This window comes from Homo sapiens, chromosome 1 (genome assembly GCF_000001405.40).
Source record: "Homo sapiens chromosome 1, GRCh38.p14 Primary Assembly".
Classification (NCBI taxonomy): Eukaryota; Metazoa; Chordata; class Mammalia; order Primates; family Hominidae; genus Homo; species Homo sapiens.
In genome coordinates this window covers 175,511,400-175,527,604 of record NC_000001.11, presented here as the reverse complement: position 1 = coordinate 175,527,604, position 16,205 = coordinate 175,511,400, and the positions used below count along the sequence as shown (strand labels likewise).

General features: G+C 42.7%; 1 protein-coding gene across 2 annotated transcripts in view; it reads left to right on the top strand.

Annotated features, from left to right (window-relative positions):
* TNR (tenascin R) overlaps nt 1–16,205 on the top strand; it is a 428,402-nt gene that overhangs the window by 215,991 nt on the left and 196,206 nt on the right. The window lies entirely within an intron of this gene.

Here is a 16,205-nt window from a genome sequence, read left to right as displayed (position 1 = left end):
TGATATACTGAACTGGGAACTTTTCAAACAGGTGTGGCCGTTTTTTATTGCACAAAACAATAATATAGCCACCAGTCTTCTCTCTGTATTTGTTATACAGTTTGTTATACAGCTTAAGTTTGTTGTGAAAAGTTTGTTCGGGAGCTCATTTTCTTCCTTAGACTCACTACAGTCTCAGTATCCCTCATGCTACTCTACAGATTTAAGGCAAGTCTTTTCTGAAGCCCCATGTTTGAATCAGCCCAGAACACCCTCAGTGGCAGCCTGCCTTCCTTGGGGGCACTTGACTACAAAGTACCCCATGCCATTTAAAACACCTTTGAACATTCCAATTCACAAGAGACATCATCACATCACGCTGGCTATCAACCATTCACACTTAAGGGAGAATTGGTTAATTTGTTGCTTCTAGGATACCAGCTGGTTCAGATCAAGTTCTCTGCAACCAAGCAGACATGGAAGGTGGACCAGGGTGTACCAACGGCTAAGGTTGCCTGTCGCGAAAGCAACACTGGCAGTGTATTACAATGAAGACATTTTTACTGACCTGCACTCTGCTCAGGGAAAGCACTTGTGTGGATAAAAGAATATTTGACAAACCCTGCTGATTAAATCTCAAAGCCACCTCCTGGCACAGAGGGCAGTCCATCTTTCCCGGCCAAGCCTGTCACATGTGTCTGAACCACCTCACAGGAGAACATAGCTTGTCCAGATTAGTCCCCTTCCCCACACACTTACAAATCACTTTTCACTAGCATGGCTTGGTGTTGGAATTGCAGGAGTTACCAAATAGGTAGGCAGCCAGGTCCCCTCATGGCTCCTTGGCAATTCAAACCCAGGTGCTCACAGGCTGGCCTGAACTGCCTTGCTTGCCTGCTTCTATCTCACCTTCATTTCCCATGCATTTGAAGCAGCTTATTTTAAAAGCTGATTAGATGAGCCCTTAATAACATTAGAATTTAAATGGTCCCAGATAGGTTTTCAGCTTCTTGCCAAATTGAGATAAATGTGATATTTGGGGAGTTGAGCTCCCAGCTTCAAGCCTGTTCTGTACTGCAGACAGGTTTTGAAGTACCGTACTACTTTCTCCCGTTTTGCAGCCTAAAACTGGGTTTGTGTGTGTCCATAAGGTGCCCTTCATCTCTAAAGGTCTGTGATTCTCTGTGTAGATATGTCTCCATGATCATGCATTTTCAAAAAATGGTAATCTGGGGGAAGGGGCCCAGGACAGAGTTCTGTCCTTCAATTGTGATAATCTATGGAAAAGCTTCACTCTATACCCCCACACCTTATGATAACTTTCAGTTCCAGACAATAACCTTTATTGAGCAACTATTATTTAGCCATTTACTTTGATATTAATGCTGTTAGTACCTGACTTTGGCTGAGAATAATGTAAGATAGTCAGAAATATGAATGTTTCACTTTATGAATATGTTCAGCACCCTCTGTAACTCTTATGGGTGGGTTCACTCCCAAAAAGGAAAAACACACTTATCAAGCCAAATAGATATAGCCTTTCAACTTAATACCCTTCCGTCAGATTTTATAAAAATAAAAGCAAAATGGGAAAGGGGAATTTAAAAAAAAAAACCAGCAAAAGTGGACATAAACAAATGGTTCAATGTTTAGGTAAATATATTCTTACAGGCAAACAAACCGAGTTATCTGCTTGCTATACTGCCCCAACCAAACTAGGCACCTGGCTACCCCCAGAATTAAATCTTGAAACTCCTAAAAACACGATTTGCCCTTCTGTATATGGGTGGTCATGAAAGAGGTGTTCCTGAATTTAAGCTTCTTTGTGAAATGCTTAACAAATGTAGCTGCTCTTACAGACTTTCAAGAGAAGCTAAACCTTGAGCTTAACCCTTGAGCATTAGCACTCAGGTGGGGAACGACGGCCCACCATATTTCCCTGGAGGGATGTTAAGGACTCCAAGGAGCCAGGTAGGTGAAGGAGGGCACCCGGGGCTTGGGCATCGCTGTGGGCAAACCCACTTTTCCTGCACTGGCCCTGCCAGTCCAAAACTCACCCCAGATTTCAGGAACTCTTGAGGGGTTTCAGGAGGAAATTACTTGTAATCCATTTAAACTATGGCTTTGATCAGAAACTACAGTTAGAGTGTAAATGTCTGCTTTCCTGCGTGGTAAAACTAGGTTGAGGAGGCTGAACAAAGTACAACTCCAGAATTGCAGTGTTTGACTCTATGCCAAACCTCTGATCAGTCAGAGCTCAAATGGCTGTTCCCTATGTGTATTAGTCTGTTCTCACACTTCTGTAAAGAACTGCCTGGGACTGGGTAATTTATAAAGGAAAGAGGTTTAATTGACTCACAGTTCAGCATGGTTGGGGAGGCCTCAGGAAACTTACAATCATGGCAGAAGGGGAAGCAAACACCTCCTTCTTCACATGATGGCAGGAAGGAGAAGTGCCAAGCAAAAAGGGAAAAGCCCCTTATAAAACTGTCAGATCTCAGGAAAACTCACCCACCATCATGAGAATAGCAACATAGAGGTAACCGCCCACATGATTCAAGTACCTCCCACCAGGTCCCTCCCATGCCATGTGGGAATTATAGGAACTGCAATTCAAGATGAGATTTGGTTGGGGACACAGCCAAACCATATCACTATGGAAGGGGAAAGAGGAGTATCAGAGGAGGTCTTGGCAGAGCCTCCAGGCCTTGGCCTACCCACATCTCAGGAAATTAAGCATTCTGTGCCATTGTGACAAGGCTTTCATTAAGACCATATTATCTAACAGGCGACTGCTTGTCCAAGTACCTTCCTAGTACTTGTGTTTGCTCTCAACATCTTATGCTTTACATGTGCAAAATGTAATGGCATTGGATGCATCAACTGGCAGTTTACATGCAAACTCACCTCCTCCTTCGCTAAGCCTGGAGCTATAAAGAGCTTGCTCAATTTCACTCTCCTTCTCAGAATGCTTCTGTGCAATCATCCTGCCCAACTTGCTTTTGTCCTGTCTCTGGAGAGAAAGGGTTCCTCCTGGCCACAACTAACTCTTCCAATGAGTCCTTGGTCTCTTCCTTACCCTTCTCCTCTATAGCCTGATCCACCCATTGCTCTCCTTTCCTCACTTGCATTTTCTTTCACTCTCTGTAAGTTCTTTTTCTTCTGCTTGTAAACAATACTTGGTCTCCATTAAAACAAACAAACAAAAAGCTTTCCCTTGATTTCCTGATTCTCTCTCTCTTTCTCTTGTCCTGGATTCCAGGGAAGAACATTCTCCATTCACTTCTCACCATTTACTTATCCCTGAATCCTATGGAAAGCAGTGCATCCTACCTACCCGTGCAACAAATTCAACATAATTCGGCAGACATGCATGTAGCATATACTAGGTGCCACACCCCATCTGGACTCTGAACACAAGGAGGACACACTCTTACAAGGAAGGCAAGGCATGCCTCCCTCACGCCTAACTACGGTGTGATAGTGAGATGGTGAGGCTATGCACTATAGAGAGGCAGGGTGGGAATCATTATTAGCCCTGTCTTGGGGGAGGGGGCAGCAAGGAAATTGTCAAAGGAGTTCTCCAGCAAATGGGGGACCCAAGAAGAGAAACGAGAAAAAGAGAGAAGAGGGAGGCCAGTCCAGTAGGAGGAGCAGCATGGGCAAGGTCATTGAGATCATGGGACCAAAGCAGCCTGACGTGTAGACGCTGCTATGTACATGGCAGGGAGGCAAGGAGTATTGAGGCTTCACAGAATGACAGACATTTAGACTTTGAGTGGAGATCCTGAGAAACTTTAACCCTTTCTTGCAAACAATGGGAACAATAGAGGGTTTAAAGGCAGGAGTGACATGATCATGTTGCCTTTAGAAAGATCACTCAGGACACAGCAATTAGAGGGGCAGATGAAATAGGAAGTTGCTCTAATAGTCCAGATGAGAGGTGATACAGACCTCAACCAAAATAACCTGTGCTAAGGATGGAGAAGAGGGGATTCTAACATAATCTCCTCCGTTCTCCATGAATCCACCCAAACAGATGTTATCTCTTCTGCACTAAACCCTCAGAGCACGTATTGTACTTTTTCTTACTGTGCTTATTCAACTTGTATTGCAATCATTTGTGTATTTCTCTAACGTTCCTTATCAAGTTGTATCTTTGTCTCCCTTTCCTCAAATTACAGTACCTTTCTCATAATAAGAGCCGAAGAAAAGGTTATTTAGTTGAATTGAATTTTCAAGGGCTTCAAACCATGAATAATTGAGGAATCAGCCATGTATAAGTGCTCATCATTTGCATAATTGTGTAAACAAGCTTATAAATTTATTTTTATTTTTCACATTATTTTTGTTATCCCACAATGCCCCACTACCTTTGCAGTTCTTCAGGTTTTGGGGAAATGGTAAACAAGTATTCTCTAATACACACAAGTGACAGAGGCGCTGCTGGATTCTCACCTCCCCAGTCAAGGGAAGTGGTTGAAAGGAGAGAACAGATGATTGTATTGATTGAATATGAAAACCATGTACAAATATTGAGAAATATGCTGTCTAAAGAGACAGAGAATTGCAGAGCACGCTGCATGATGGGACCCACGTGCAGAGTCCCGAAGGTCAATGTGCAGATACAAATTGATTAAGCTAAGTACTTACTGAAATTGCTTTCCAACATACAGATGAGAATTGATCATAGGCAGGACCCGTATTTCTGGTGAAAAAGCTTTATAAAATTATCCATTGGTATGCCATAAAGACAAATTTAAATTGTCTGGATTTCCCCAAATGAAAGTATCTATATTGTTAACAAATATGTCATAATGAGTGAACCAGAACTTACAATTTTGTGAATGAGTTTCTTTATGTGTGGACCTAAATGGCCTCATAACAGCTTTATTTTTTGTGGGGGGGCATCTTTTTACAACCCTGAGGTTAGCCTCTCTGTCTCATGCCAAACCAAATGATTCTTTTTTTTCCTCCAGTACTACATACTGTGTCAACTTCATTGTTTTGCCTACAGATTGTAGTTTTGCATAAGTTCTATTTAAGAAAGCAATTTTTTTTTATTTTTTATTTCCATAGGTTATTGGAGAACAGGTGATGTTTGGTTACATGAGTAAGTTCTTTAGTGGTGATTTGTGAGATTTTGGGGCACCCATCACCTGAGCAGTATATGCCGCACCCAATTTGTGGTCTTTCATCCCCCATCTCCTTCCTACACTTTCATGCTGAGTGTCCAAAGTCCATTGTGTCATTCTTATGCCTTTGCATCCTCATAGCTTAGCTCCCACTTATGAGTGAGAACATACGATGTTTCAAACCAAAAGACTTTGGCCATGAGTTAGCCCTATCTACTGTGGTACCCGAGTTTTCACTCTTAGACACAATCCCTAGCTCCTAGGAAACTAGGAGTCAGAAATCTTCTAAGCCCACATGGCATCCAGCACACTTAAGCAGTGGCTTCGAGTGCCGCCAGCCTGTGGCATTTAGGCAGGAGAAAAAAAAAGGAGAAGTGGAGTGGGGTGGATAAAAGGAAATGCAAGGCAGCTAAAGGAAAATTAAGAGAAAGGAGTAGAAGGCATAGTTAAGCAAGTCTTTGTTGAGTAATTTTTGTGTCAAATATAAAAGTATGCATCACAGTCCACACAAAAGAAGTATGTATCATGCTTGCTGCACTCCAGGGGCTAAGAATTTATCCAAGAGGGCAATTCTAAACCCAGGAAACAAACAAAATAGCAGTGCATGACAATATAATCAAGCCCTAAATACTACTTCCTGGCATTGGCTGTGTTACAGTAGTGAAAGCAGAAACAGGGCAAGTGTCACAGGGTTCATGGGAGAGGAGGAGACCAGAGAAAACCTCATGGGAGAGGCCACAATCATTGAGCTGGGCCTTGAAAATAGAGGTGATACAAACCCAGGAAGGCCAAATGAGCATGACACCTCAGACTATGAAAAAAAGTAAGAGGAAAAAAGTAAGAACAAAAGGAGGAGATGAAAGAGAAGAGAAAACAGAAAAGGTTTCTGAGGATGTTGATGGTAGAGCAGCTACCACTCACATCTCCCTGGGCACCTGTGCCAACCCTTGGATTGCCTTGGCCAAAGACCAACAATTTAGAGGCCGAAAATATTTCTGCGGTCCCAGTGATCTACGCAGAATTGGACCAGAGCCAGTCGGGTTTTGTTGCCTCAGTAATCACAAAGTGAGGCATCTTTTTCCTCATGTTTACTTGAGAGGAATGCTGTTTACACTGAAAACATCACACCCTTCAGAGTGACCATTGACAACTGAATTCTCGTATGACTAACAATTGGGTGTAAAGAACCCTCAGAAGCTCCACAACAAATGAGATGGCTTCATTAGCTGGAGGTTCTAGGAGGCTCTGTGAGAAATGAAGAGATTGGTAAAGTAAGGACAATATATTAAATACATTTCGAAGGGTTCTATGGAGAGCAGGATATCGCCAACAAAATGTGTTTTGATTGGCACAGTGGAATCTTCCTGCCCCTCAAATTACTCCCCATCCCATCCTCATCCCCACCCCAATTTTAAGAAAAGGACACAAACTAACAAATGAGTAACACCGGTTCTGCCAGGTTGTCTGAAATCCTACTATTTGAGGTATGTTCTTGTCAAGGTGTTGCCTCTTCCAGATTTCCCTTCAGAAAGGTAGGTGTCCTCTGAGAGACTTGTTTATCCACAATGGAATGCTGGTTATGTTAGTAGAATTTCTGTCTAAGGACCACAGAAGGAGGAAAAAGCAGAGAAGAGGAGAAATAAGGATGAAACGAGAGGGAAAAATAATTTTAGAACATGGCACCCTGCTAGGAAAGACAGGATTGAGGGTGGTGGATGCAAGTGGTGAACGTGGATGGCTAATGAGGAGAAGAAGGGGAGAAAATATAGCCAGAAGGGAGGAGAGAGGGAGAGAGAGAAAGAGAGAGAGAGAGAGAAGAGCAGGAAAATCACAATGCAACAAAGCCAGAATCAAACTCTGTATCCTTGGCTATGTGGCCTGGAGCAGCCCTGACTGATTGGATAGCTCCAACATTAAAGTTGGACATGTTCAAGTGCCACCTGAGAAGGCTCAGCATTGTTTAATATGGAAAAACAGAGCAGGGCTATTTGTGAAGTTGGCCAGGTGGCAGGGTGAATATACGAGTATGTGGCTAAGTCCAGCAGTGGCAAAACCACAGCAAGTTGTTTGTTAGGCCTGAGGAAGAAAATGCCTGGAAATCAGCCCCAGTGCAGAACAACGGTGGCCATGGGCCAAGGGAGTGCCACGCTTCTCTGCTGAGTCAGCAGAGAACAATAAAGCTGGGAGATGATTTAAGAATTGTAATGTAAGGATTCTGCCAGAACTCTGTTCATCTGATACCAGAATCACAGACCCATCAAATGTTCAGCCTAGGACTTTAGAGCTCAGTCTACCTCAACCCTCATTCTCAAGCTAGGGAAAAAATAGAGTCCTGAGAGGAGTTAAGATTTATCAAGTGCTTTCTATATGCTAAGCACTTTTTGATTACTTTATGTTTATTCGCTCATTTACTTCTCTTAACAACCAACGATAGTAGGAAATATTACTATCTCCATTTTATAGATAAGAAAATCCGTGCAGGAAAGCTAAATAATTTGCATGAATTCAAACAGCTTAGTAAGTGGAAGAACAGGGATTTGAACCCAAGTAGTTTGAGTCCAGGGCTCCTTCACACAAGCACTACCCTGAATGATTTATCCAAGACCATACAGCCAGACACCAGGAAGGAAATCAGGCAGGCTTTTGTAAGTTGAATCTTGTCACTTCCAAGTTAGGGTGTAAATATCACTTGTGCAATGATGAAAGCATGTTAGGGGAGAAATCACAATAGTTTTGGTGGCAAAGAGACCACTATTCCTTGTGGGAGCTGAGGGCTGTTCTGAAAGGAAAGCAGGGCACCCCTGTAGAGCAACCTATCTCTCCTTCATCAGAAGAGGTAATGAATTGTAATGGAGCCACTGCAATTGAAGCTGTGATAATTATTGTGATAATGGCCAAGAAATGGAAGAGCAGATGCATCTCTCCATGAAGAGGAAGAGCTTGAGGTAATGAAATGGTAAAGAGTATATTGATGAGGTTTTGATAGTGATCAATGCAACAGCAATAGACTGCAAGTGTAAAGATAAAGGAAGCATGGTGATGCATTTTTGGTCCTTCAATCAACCACACCTGCTGAATGCTAACTTTGTCCAGATGCTAAGTGCTCTTGGAAGGAAATGAGGTCTAGTCCACCATGAGCTCAAAATTTAATGGATAACACAGGACAATTGTAAACAATTTCCTTCCCCTGAACACACACACTGGAAGATCAGAAATGCCGGTATGCACTGCAGTTATATTAGTATGGTCTTGAATTGCCTTAAGGAAGACATTGGTAGTTAGAATTCTTAGAGTCAGAGCGGTAACTGTAACAGAGGACTGTGTTTGTGTCTTTAAGATGAGGATTATTACTGTCTGGCTGTTACAGAAAGAGAAATGAGGATGAAGGAGTGAGTTGTAAATAAGAGTGACAATGGCAATAGTGAAATTGCTGTAGAAAGTGGCAGAATTTTGTAGTTAACATGATTTGGTGGAAGAAAAGAAGGGAATTCTAACATTAATGGAGATGTTGGACTACATGTCCAGTGTATAATAGAGATGCCTGTAGCTTTATCAAAGGTGGCCAGGTTCTTGCATGGCAGAGGGGTGGATAAAGACATTGAAATTTGTTATGGTAGCAATTATGATTGTAACTGAGGTAATAATAAAGATAATGGACCTGTAATTGAAAAGCTGGTGGCTGTAAAGGAGAAGGTGAGGGCAACCGAAATGTAGAGGGGGCGATAAGGGAGGTAATGGTGGCTATGTGAAAGATAATGGAGTTATAATGTAGATGATGCTAAAAGGTAATGGAGTTATAATGAGGTGATGACTACAGAATGGGGGGAAAAAGATGATCATCTTAATGGCAGCAAGAGGGACTGTGTGATACAGGTGAGAATTGTATGCAGAGCATTCATCATGACAACTAGAGCTGTGGGTGACCAGGAAAGTAATGAACAGCTGCACCCAAAGTTCTCATTACAGCAGGAGTTCTAATGGACCCTGGAATATGATAATGACATTAATGGAAAAGATGATGACCCCATGAAAATCAGGAGCCTTGTGATGGTATTTAGGACTGTAGGGGGAGACATGAGAGGAGGAATGGGGATGGGATCGAGGACAGACCTGTGTGGACATATTTGTGTGTCCCAAGACTGCACAGTCTGAGAGACGTTCACTAGACCTGGCCCTGTGGGTGACTTGGCTTAATGCAGCTGCTCTTGCTTGTACAAGGCATTTGTTGTGCATGAGCCAATCCAGGATGAACAGACCTAGCAGAAGCAGCAATTCAAGCTTGCAATCTAAATTTTGTTCTTAAGTCATGACAATACACATGATTACAGATGTGTAAACACAACTGCTTACAGAAGTATTATATTTCAATGTAATATCTGGGAAATCTGTGAGTTTTCAGAAGAAGTGAATGAATGAAGGGGATATTTATTTATTTATTTATTTACTTAAACCATCAACACTCCTCCTAAGTAGAGAATTAGAAGCTTGTTTCTCCAAGGCTCTGCAGTTCTTTCTTGTGCTTGTCTAGCACACTGGGCTCTGGGAAGGAACCTAGGGAATGGGTATGCACTAGGATCTCCAGTGCTGCTGGTGTTTCCGTGCTGAGCAGCCTGGAAACATGCACAGTGGGTAGACTAGCTAAAAACAGACAAATGATCCCAGACCCACATCACACATGTGGAGATGTGAGCAAGACGCACAGCAAATAAAGGGATCAGAGTCAGCTAAAGAAACTTATCATCTGTGCAAGGAAGTGTGTATGAAACACAGGTTCTCTGCCTCTGGGACCTAAATGCTACCTTTTTGACTAACTATACTAAAACCAAAACCAATAGGACAGCTTTTACAAAAATACAGATTCGTAGGTCTCACCTCATGGCGAGTCCAATTCTATCCATTGGGGACTGGCCTAGGAATCTGTATTTTAAAAAATTCCCCTGAGATTATTCCATTTTTTCAACTGCCTAAATGCCAACCTGTGTCCCTTATAAGGAGAAGATTAGGGAAGAGGTAGGGAAGGCATATTTCCTGGGAGTAGGACAAACCAAACTTTTGAGATCAGTCCTCACAGTGGAATATGGGTAGAAAAAAATCATCCTCCACCTGCCTATTCCTCCATCTGCACATGGGTGTACTTTTCCCCTGTGAAGTCACACAATTGACTTACACAGTCTCCCAGAAAAGAACTCCTAGAATACCACTATGGCGATAGGCAGCACTGAGCCACAGGCCCCTATTTTTTTCTGGAATATAAAGATAAAGCAGTACAGGAGCTGAAGCATATGTGAGAAGAGCAGAGGAGGAAATGTTGGGGGGAGGTAGGGGAAAGTGTCCAGAAAAGATATTTCAGCACCTCTACTTGTGGGGATGGATATGGATTTAGAGGTGAGGGGTTGGCACCACTGTGCTGTATTTGAAGGTCTCTCTCTCTTTCTCTCTCTCTCTCTCTCTCTCTCTCTCTCTCTCTCTCTCTCTCTCAGCTTTCAGATGTACTAATTTGTGCTTCAGAATTCTCAGGGATTAAAAAGTGTCAAAATCATGAAAATATTCAATTTATGTCTTGGGAAGTACAAATTATCTCTGTCCTTATATGACATATAAGTTGTGCACATGTCCACATGTTTATTCTTCTATCAACAAAGAAAACAGGCATAATTACTAAAAAATGCACTACAAATAAAATGTATTTTTTCAATTTCTGAACAAAATAATAGAATATTTATTAATAGATAGTGCCCTAATTCTTCCTGTTCCCTCCGACTCAAACTCTTAAATCAGCAGCTAACTGAAAGATCCTAGCATACTGCCATAGTCACTTTGGAAAAGCTCAGGTCCTGCTGGCATCAGTCTGCCTGGATCTGTTTCAGAGAAACAGAAACCCAGAAGGGAGTGGAGAAGTTCAACCCCTGCTTGATCCATATGGGAATGGTTCAAGCAATTAGATTGAGGCTGTGTCAGGGAGCGATATCATGAGCACGGTCATTTCTCCCTCTCTCCTTGGTCCCCAACCTTATCAGGAAATGGACCACACAGTCCCTTAGAAACCATTCCTCATTTTTCCAGGATGCTGACCCACCACTTGAGAAGTGCCACTTTCCTCCTGGGCCACGCTGTCATTTGTTAGCTGCTAATCATTCATTAACCTTCCAGGTACCTTGCGGAAACCAGGACCTTGCCTCATTTGCAAAGGTGGTTCACTGAGTCCCCCTTTAATAAAATTACAACTTCAGGAAACAAATCATTTGTATCAAATACAACCCCATGGCTTCCTCTTATGTTAATCATTTCAGGCAGGTGCTATTAGGTAATTCAATCACTACGTTACAGAAAGCCACTACTGAATTAATGAGGAATAAACTTGAATTCTGAATAAGAAATTTTCTGAATAAATGGTTCTGAATAAAAAACCAAGAGCCAAGCCTATAATCACAACAGACAGCAACAATATAAAATTGGATATTAAACAGTCCTCACATCCATCCATTCTTAGTCCACAAATTCTTTTGGAGCTTAAAGAACATATTGCAGCCACCAACAAGAACCTTCCAGGTTTGCCACTTTCCTACTATTTTCTTCATACTTTTTCAAGTGAGCTGGATACATTTTGAAGCCCTCATCCCAATTTAGAATACACTTTAGTTTAGTCCTAAGGTGAGTCTTTCCTTAAAAAGAGCATCCATGCCTGTAGCCCCATTCAGACTCTGAAATTCCCTTTGTTCCCATCTGGCCTACCTGCATCCAGACTCCCTCCTGTCAGGACACTTTCCCCACAGCACCCTGGTGGCTGTTCACATCCCTGCCTAACACTCACTAACCATTTTCACTGTTCTCACTTTCTTAGCAAGGAATGCACAACAATTCAGGACCAGGCTTGTCTTTCCAGCCTCATCTCTTCTTAGACCCCTATAGGAATGCACCCTGTATTCTGGCCACACCCAAGTCCAGAATGTTCTATGCTCTTTCATAGTGCCATGTTGTTCCTTGCACTAGAATGCCTGCTCCAAACTAATTCTCTCCTTTTAAAGTTCATCCTGAACATTGCCTCCTCCTCAAACCCTCTCTGACTCCCTCTTTACCCCCAAACCTAGACTGAATTAGGCGCCCATGTTTCCTTAGCATCTGAGGGCAGAGCTCAATTATTGAACAGAGCATTCAATACTATATGCGGGAGCACAGATCTTTCTCTTCAACTAGATTGACATCTCCTTGAGAGTAAGACTACACAGTGTTTCACCTTATATTGTCAAGGCTGGGCATAGGGTAGATGCATAGCAAATATTTGATGAATGAATGGGCCAATGACAGAATACAAGAAATAATGACTGAATAAATAAATACACCCGATCACATGATTTATGCTAATTCCAGCAGCCACACTTCCATTCTCCAGCTCTGGGCAGAAGCATTTTAAAAGTTTATTTTCATAACCTGACATTCAGTTGGTGAAGACTTGGCCCGGAACGAGTTGGTCTCCCCACAGTAAGTGACACCATCGCAACTTCTTTATCCTCCCACTCTTTATCTGAAAAAAAATAGACTGGGTAGCATGGACGAGATGTTTCCCTGCAGCAGGAAACCACTATTAGCACAAACCATGTGGTGACCATGTTGCCTTCCTCAGGGGCAGTCATCCAGCCCCACAGGAAATCTCCCCCGCTCTGCACACTGCATTTGGTTTTCACAGAGCTGTGGTCGCCTGGCATTTATCATGCTGTGCTTCATCAGAGATTTAATCAGGTCTGAGTTTTTAACAACGTGCTCGTCATGCTCACTTAACTTAAAATCAAGCCTGTTCAGGCATTAGTTGGTCCTATTCACTCAGTCTAGTAGTTTTGGCATTTAAAACTGTAGACTTTTTCATCAAGGTACACTACGTTTTTACCAAGCATCTCCCTACACAAAAACTTCTCAGACTGTTTCCCTGGGAACCATGGTTCCCTGGTTGAATAGTCCAGCTGCTGGAAGGGATGTATCTGTGTATTGGTTTCCTGTTGATGCCATAACAGATGACCACAGACTTCGTGGCTGAAAACAATAAAAATGTATTATCTTACTGCTCTGTAGGTCAGACACAGGTCACACTGAGCTTTTGCCAAGGTGTTGGCAGGGCTGCATTCTTTCTGGAGGCTCTCGGGGAGAACATGTTTTCTTGCATTTTCCATGCAGGGTACAGGCTACCCATGCTCTTTGGCTGGTGTCCTCTTCCTCCATATCAAAGCCAGCAATGGCTGATGGAGTTCTCACATAGCATCACTCTGATTTCCTCTTTTGCCTCCCTCTTCCACTTTTAGGGACCCTTGTGATTACACTAGGAATACCCAGTTCATCAGGTTAATCTCCCTATTTTAAGGTCAGCTGATGAGCAACCTTAAGTCCCCTTAGCTATATAAGGTAGCATATTCACAGATTCCAGAGACTAAGGTATGGATGTCTTTGAGGCGTCATTATTCTGCCCATCACAACTTATATGACTCTGGACCTCTGGAAGTGATCCTTTACATAACCTCATGGGTCCAGTGTGGACCTTCCAATGGTGACATCAGAGTCACCTGGAAGCTTTTTAGAAATGCAGATACTCCAAACCCATCCCAGACCTTCAGAATCAGAATCTACATTTTCACAAATTTTCCGCGGATTAGATGTGCATGTGCAGTGAGTTTGAGAAGCCCTCTCCAGAGGTTCCCTGAGCAGGCAGAGGAAAGAGCTTAGACTCTGGTGTTGAAAAATGATTTTATCTGGAAACACGTAATAAGGAAGGGGTCCTGAGGAGCCCAGTCAATAGCACCCCTCTTCCCTGTCAGAGCTCTGAACAAATAGAAATGTAAGAAAAAGAAGGGAGCCAGGTAGAGACCTAGATTTCACATTGGTAAACTGATATTTGATGATGTTACTTTTGCCTGCACCTATAACATTGAACCTTGAGATGAGGAGGGCTTCTTCCTACCCAGTCGCAGCAGCACTGCACTGGGGAGGGTCCCTCCCCTGCAGCCCCCTGCAGGCAGGGACAGAGCATGTGGAGAGGGATTTCTAGGAAGGAGGAGTGCATCTGAGAGCACCTGCTCTCTGCAGGCAGACCAACTCCAAAAAGGAAGAAGAAGAACCTAGACTACATGTGTTCGATTTCTTTTTCCAAACTTTGCAAGCAGGTAGATCACTAGTGAATAAGGGGATGGAGATGAGACAGGAGAGTTATAGCTCAGAGAGCTGCCTCCATATGGGAGGAAACATCAGGAGATGAATCAACATTTCCCCCAATAAATAACGCCTACAGCACAGTGTAGTGGGGAAGACAGAGAGACAGCCCACGCAGAAGCACTTGATACACAGCAGGAATCCCATTACAAGGATTACCATGTTATCCACCAATTTAAAACCTGGCAACCCAACAGAACATCCTAAGAACTTATTACAAAATGTGGTTTCCTGGACCCTTACCCTAGGCGATTCAGATTCAGTAGGTGTAAGTTGGGGCCAGGGAACCATACTGACCTGAAATTCTATAGCATCCAAGTGAGGAAATGGCTGATGCCTTGGTCCATTCAGTCATTTAGGCTGGACTATACCTAAACCAGAGAACTTCTGGTTGCAAGTTACAGAAACCAACTGGAGCTGGCTTACCTAAAAGGGGAAGTGTGTTGCAGGATCCATGGGTATCTTGCAGAACAAAAAAGCAAAGGGCACGTGTTGGGAAGGGACTGACCCCAGGAACTAATGCGTTTCCAGGAACCCACGATGTGCTCTCTCCATCTCTCATTTCTGCTTCTCTTGATGACCTACACTGTCTTCTGTGTTTTCATGCATGTGATGGACTCTGCACAACTCTTAAAGGTGCTTTTCCTCTGGACACTGAAGACAGATTAGCACTCTTTTAGTCTCCATTCTAAATTCCTAGGCAGAGAATATGACTGACCCAAGTCAGGTCAGCTGTTTTCACCAGGTTCAGGGGCCTGGGGTTATAGTACTCATCTCTCCATCTCCATAGGGATATGTTGGAGGGAGGATAATTCTAGAGGAAAGAAGTCATCACTTGTTTGGTAGATACCAAAAGAGTCTACTAAGAGTTGCTATCCTATATTTTTAAAATTGCTTTTCCCCAATAGCCAGAGAATAAAAAAAGAAAACCTTGTGACTTTGAGTGTCTGATAAAGATTTTTAAAATATTTCTAATTTACACTTAGAATCAGTCTCATTGAAATACTAGTTTTAGTGAAATCCTCAAGATGATGCCTCTCCTGCCTACTTGAAATGGTCACGGATCTTAACTCCTTTGGAGAGGGTGCTCCTCCTTCTAAATGGCTCACTTTCCCCAGATAGTTCTGGCCCTTTTACATGCTTCTTTCTAGGGTGAAGAGAGTTCTCTTCCAAGGAGATATGTTCTAGGAGTGAATGCCACATCCATTTATGTTGGAATTTTTTTAATGAATATTTCGACCTACTAGACCATAAGTTCTTCCAGAGTCAAGAGATTCTATCTCAATCATCCTATAGCTGTAGCACCTATTAAAGTGCTGGATCACAGTGGTTACCCAATATGTGTTGTTGACTTTAGCAATGAATGAGAAGTCTTGTTCTTCAAAAAGTAATGTAATAATATCATGCTTAGTGAGAAGTCATTGTGTACCAGGAAACAATGCCAGGAGAGAGCTCCAAAACTCAGGACTGTTGTGCCTTTCTGGAAGAAGAGTCCGTGATCACCTCACTACGGGTCAGGGGAAGGAAAGGGGAACTGAGAGATTTGTCAGTGTGAGAAGCAGTCCCAGGAGTTAGAAGTAGTGGCTCCATGACTCACAAATTAACTTCCCTTTCAGGCAGGGCTTCTTATTTTCCTTAGCATCCCTGTCTTGATCCCAGCCTGCTCAGACCCCTGCCTCTCACTGCAAGATGTGCTTGAGTCATGAGAGTCAGGAATGTTACTTCTCAGAGGCGCCAAATGGCAGTTGTCACAGGGTCATCATAGAGGGAATGTAGAGACCTTTCATGAATGTTTATTCTAATTGCAGTACAATAAAACCTTAGACTTCACAATCCATCATTCCTCTATCAAATCAAATATTACAGGGCTCATGTCTTTATCATGACAGTATTTTATTC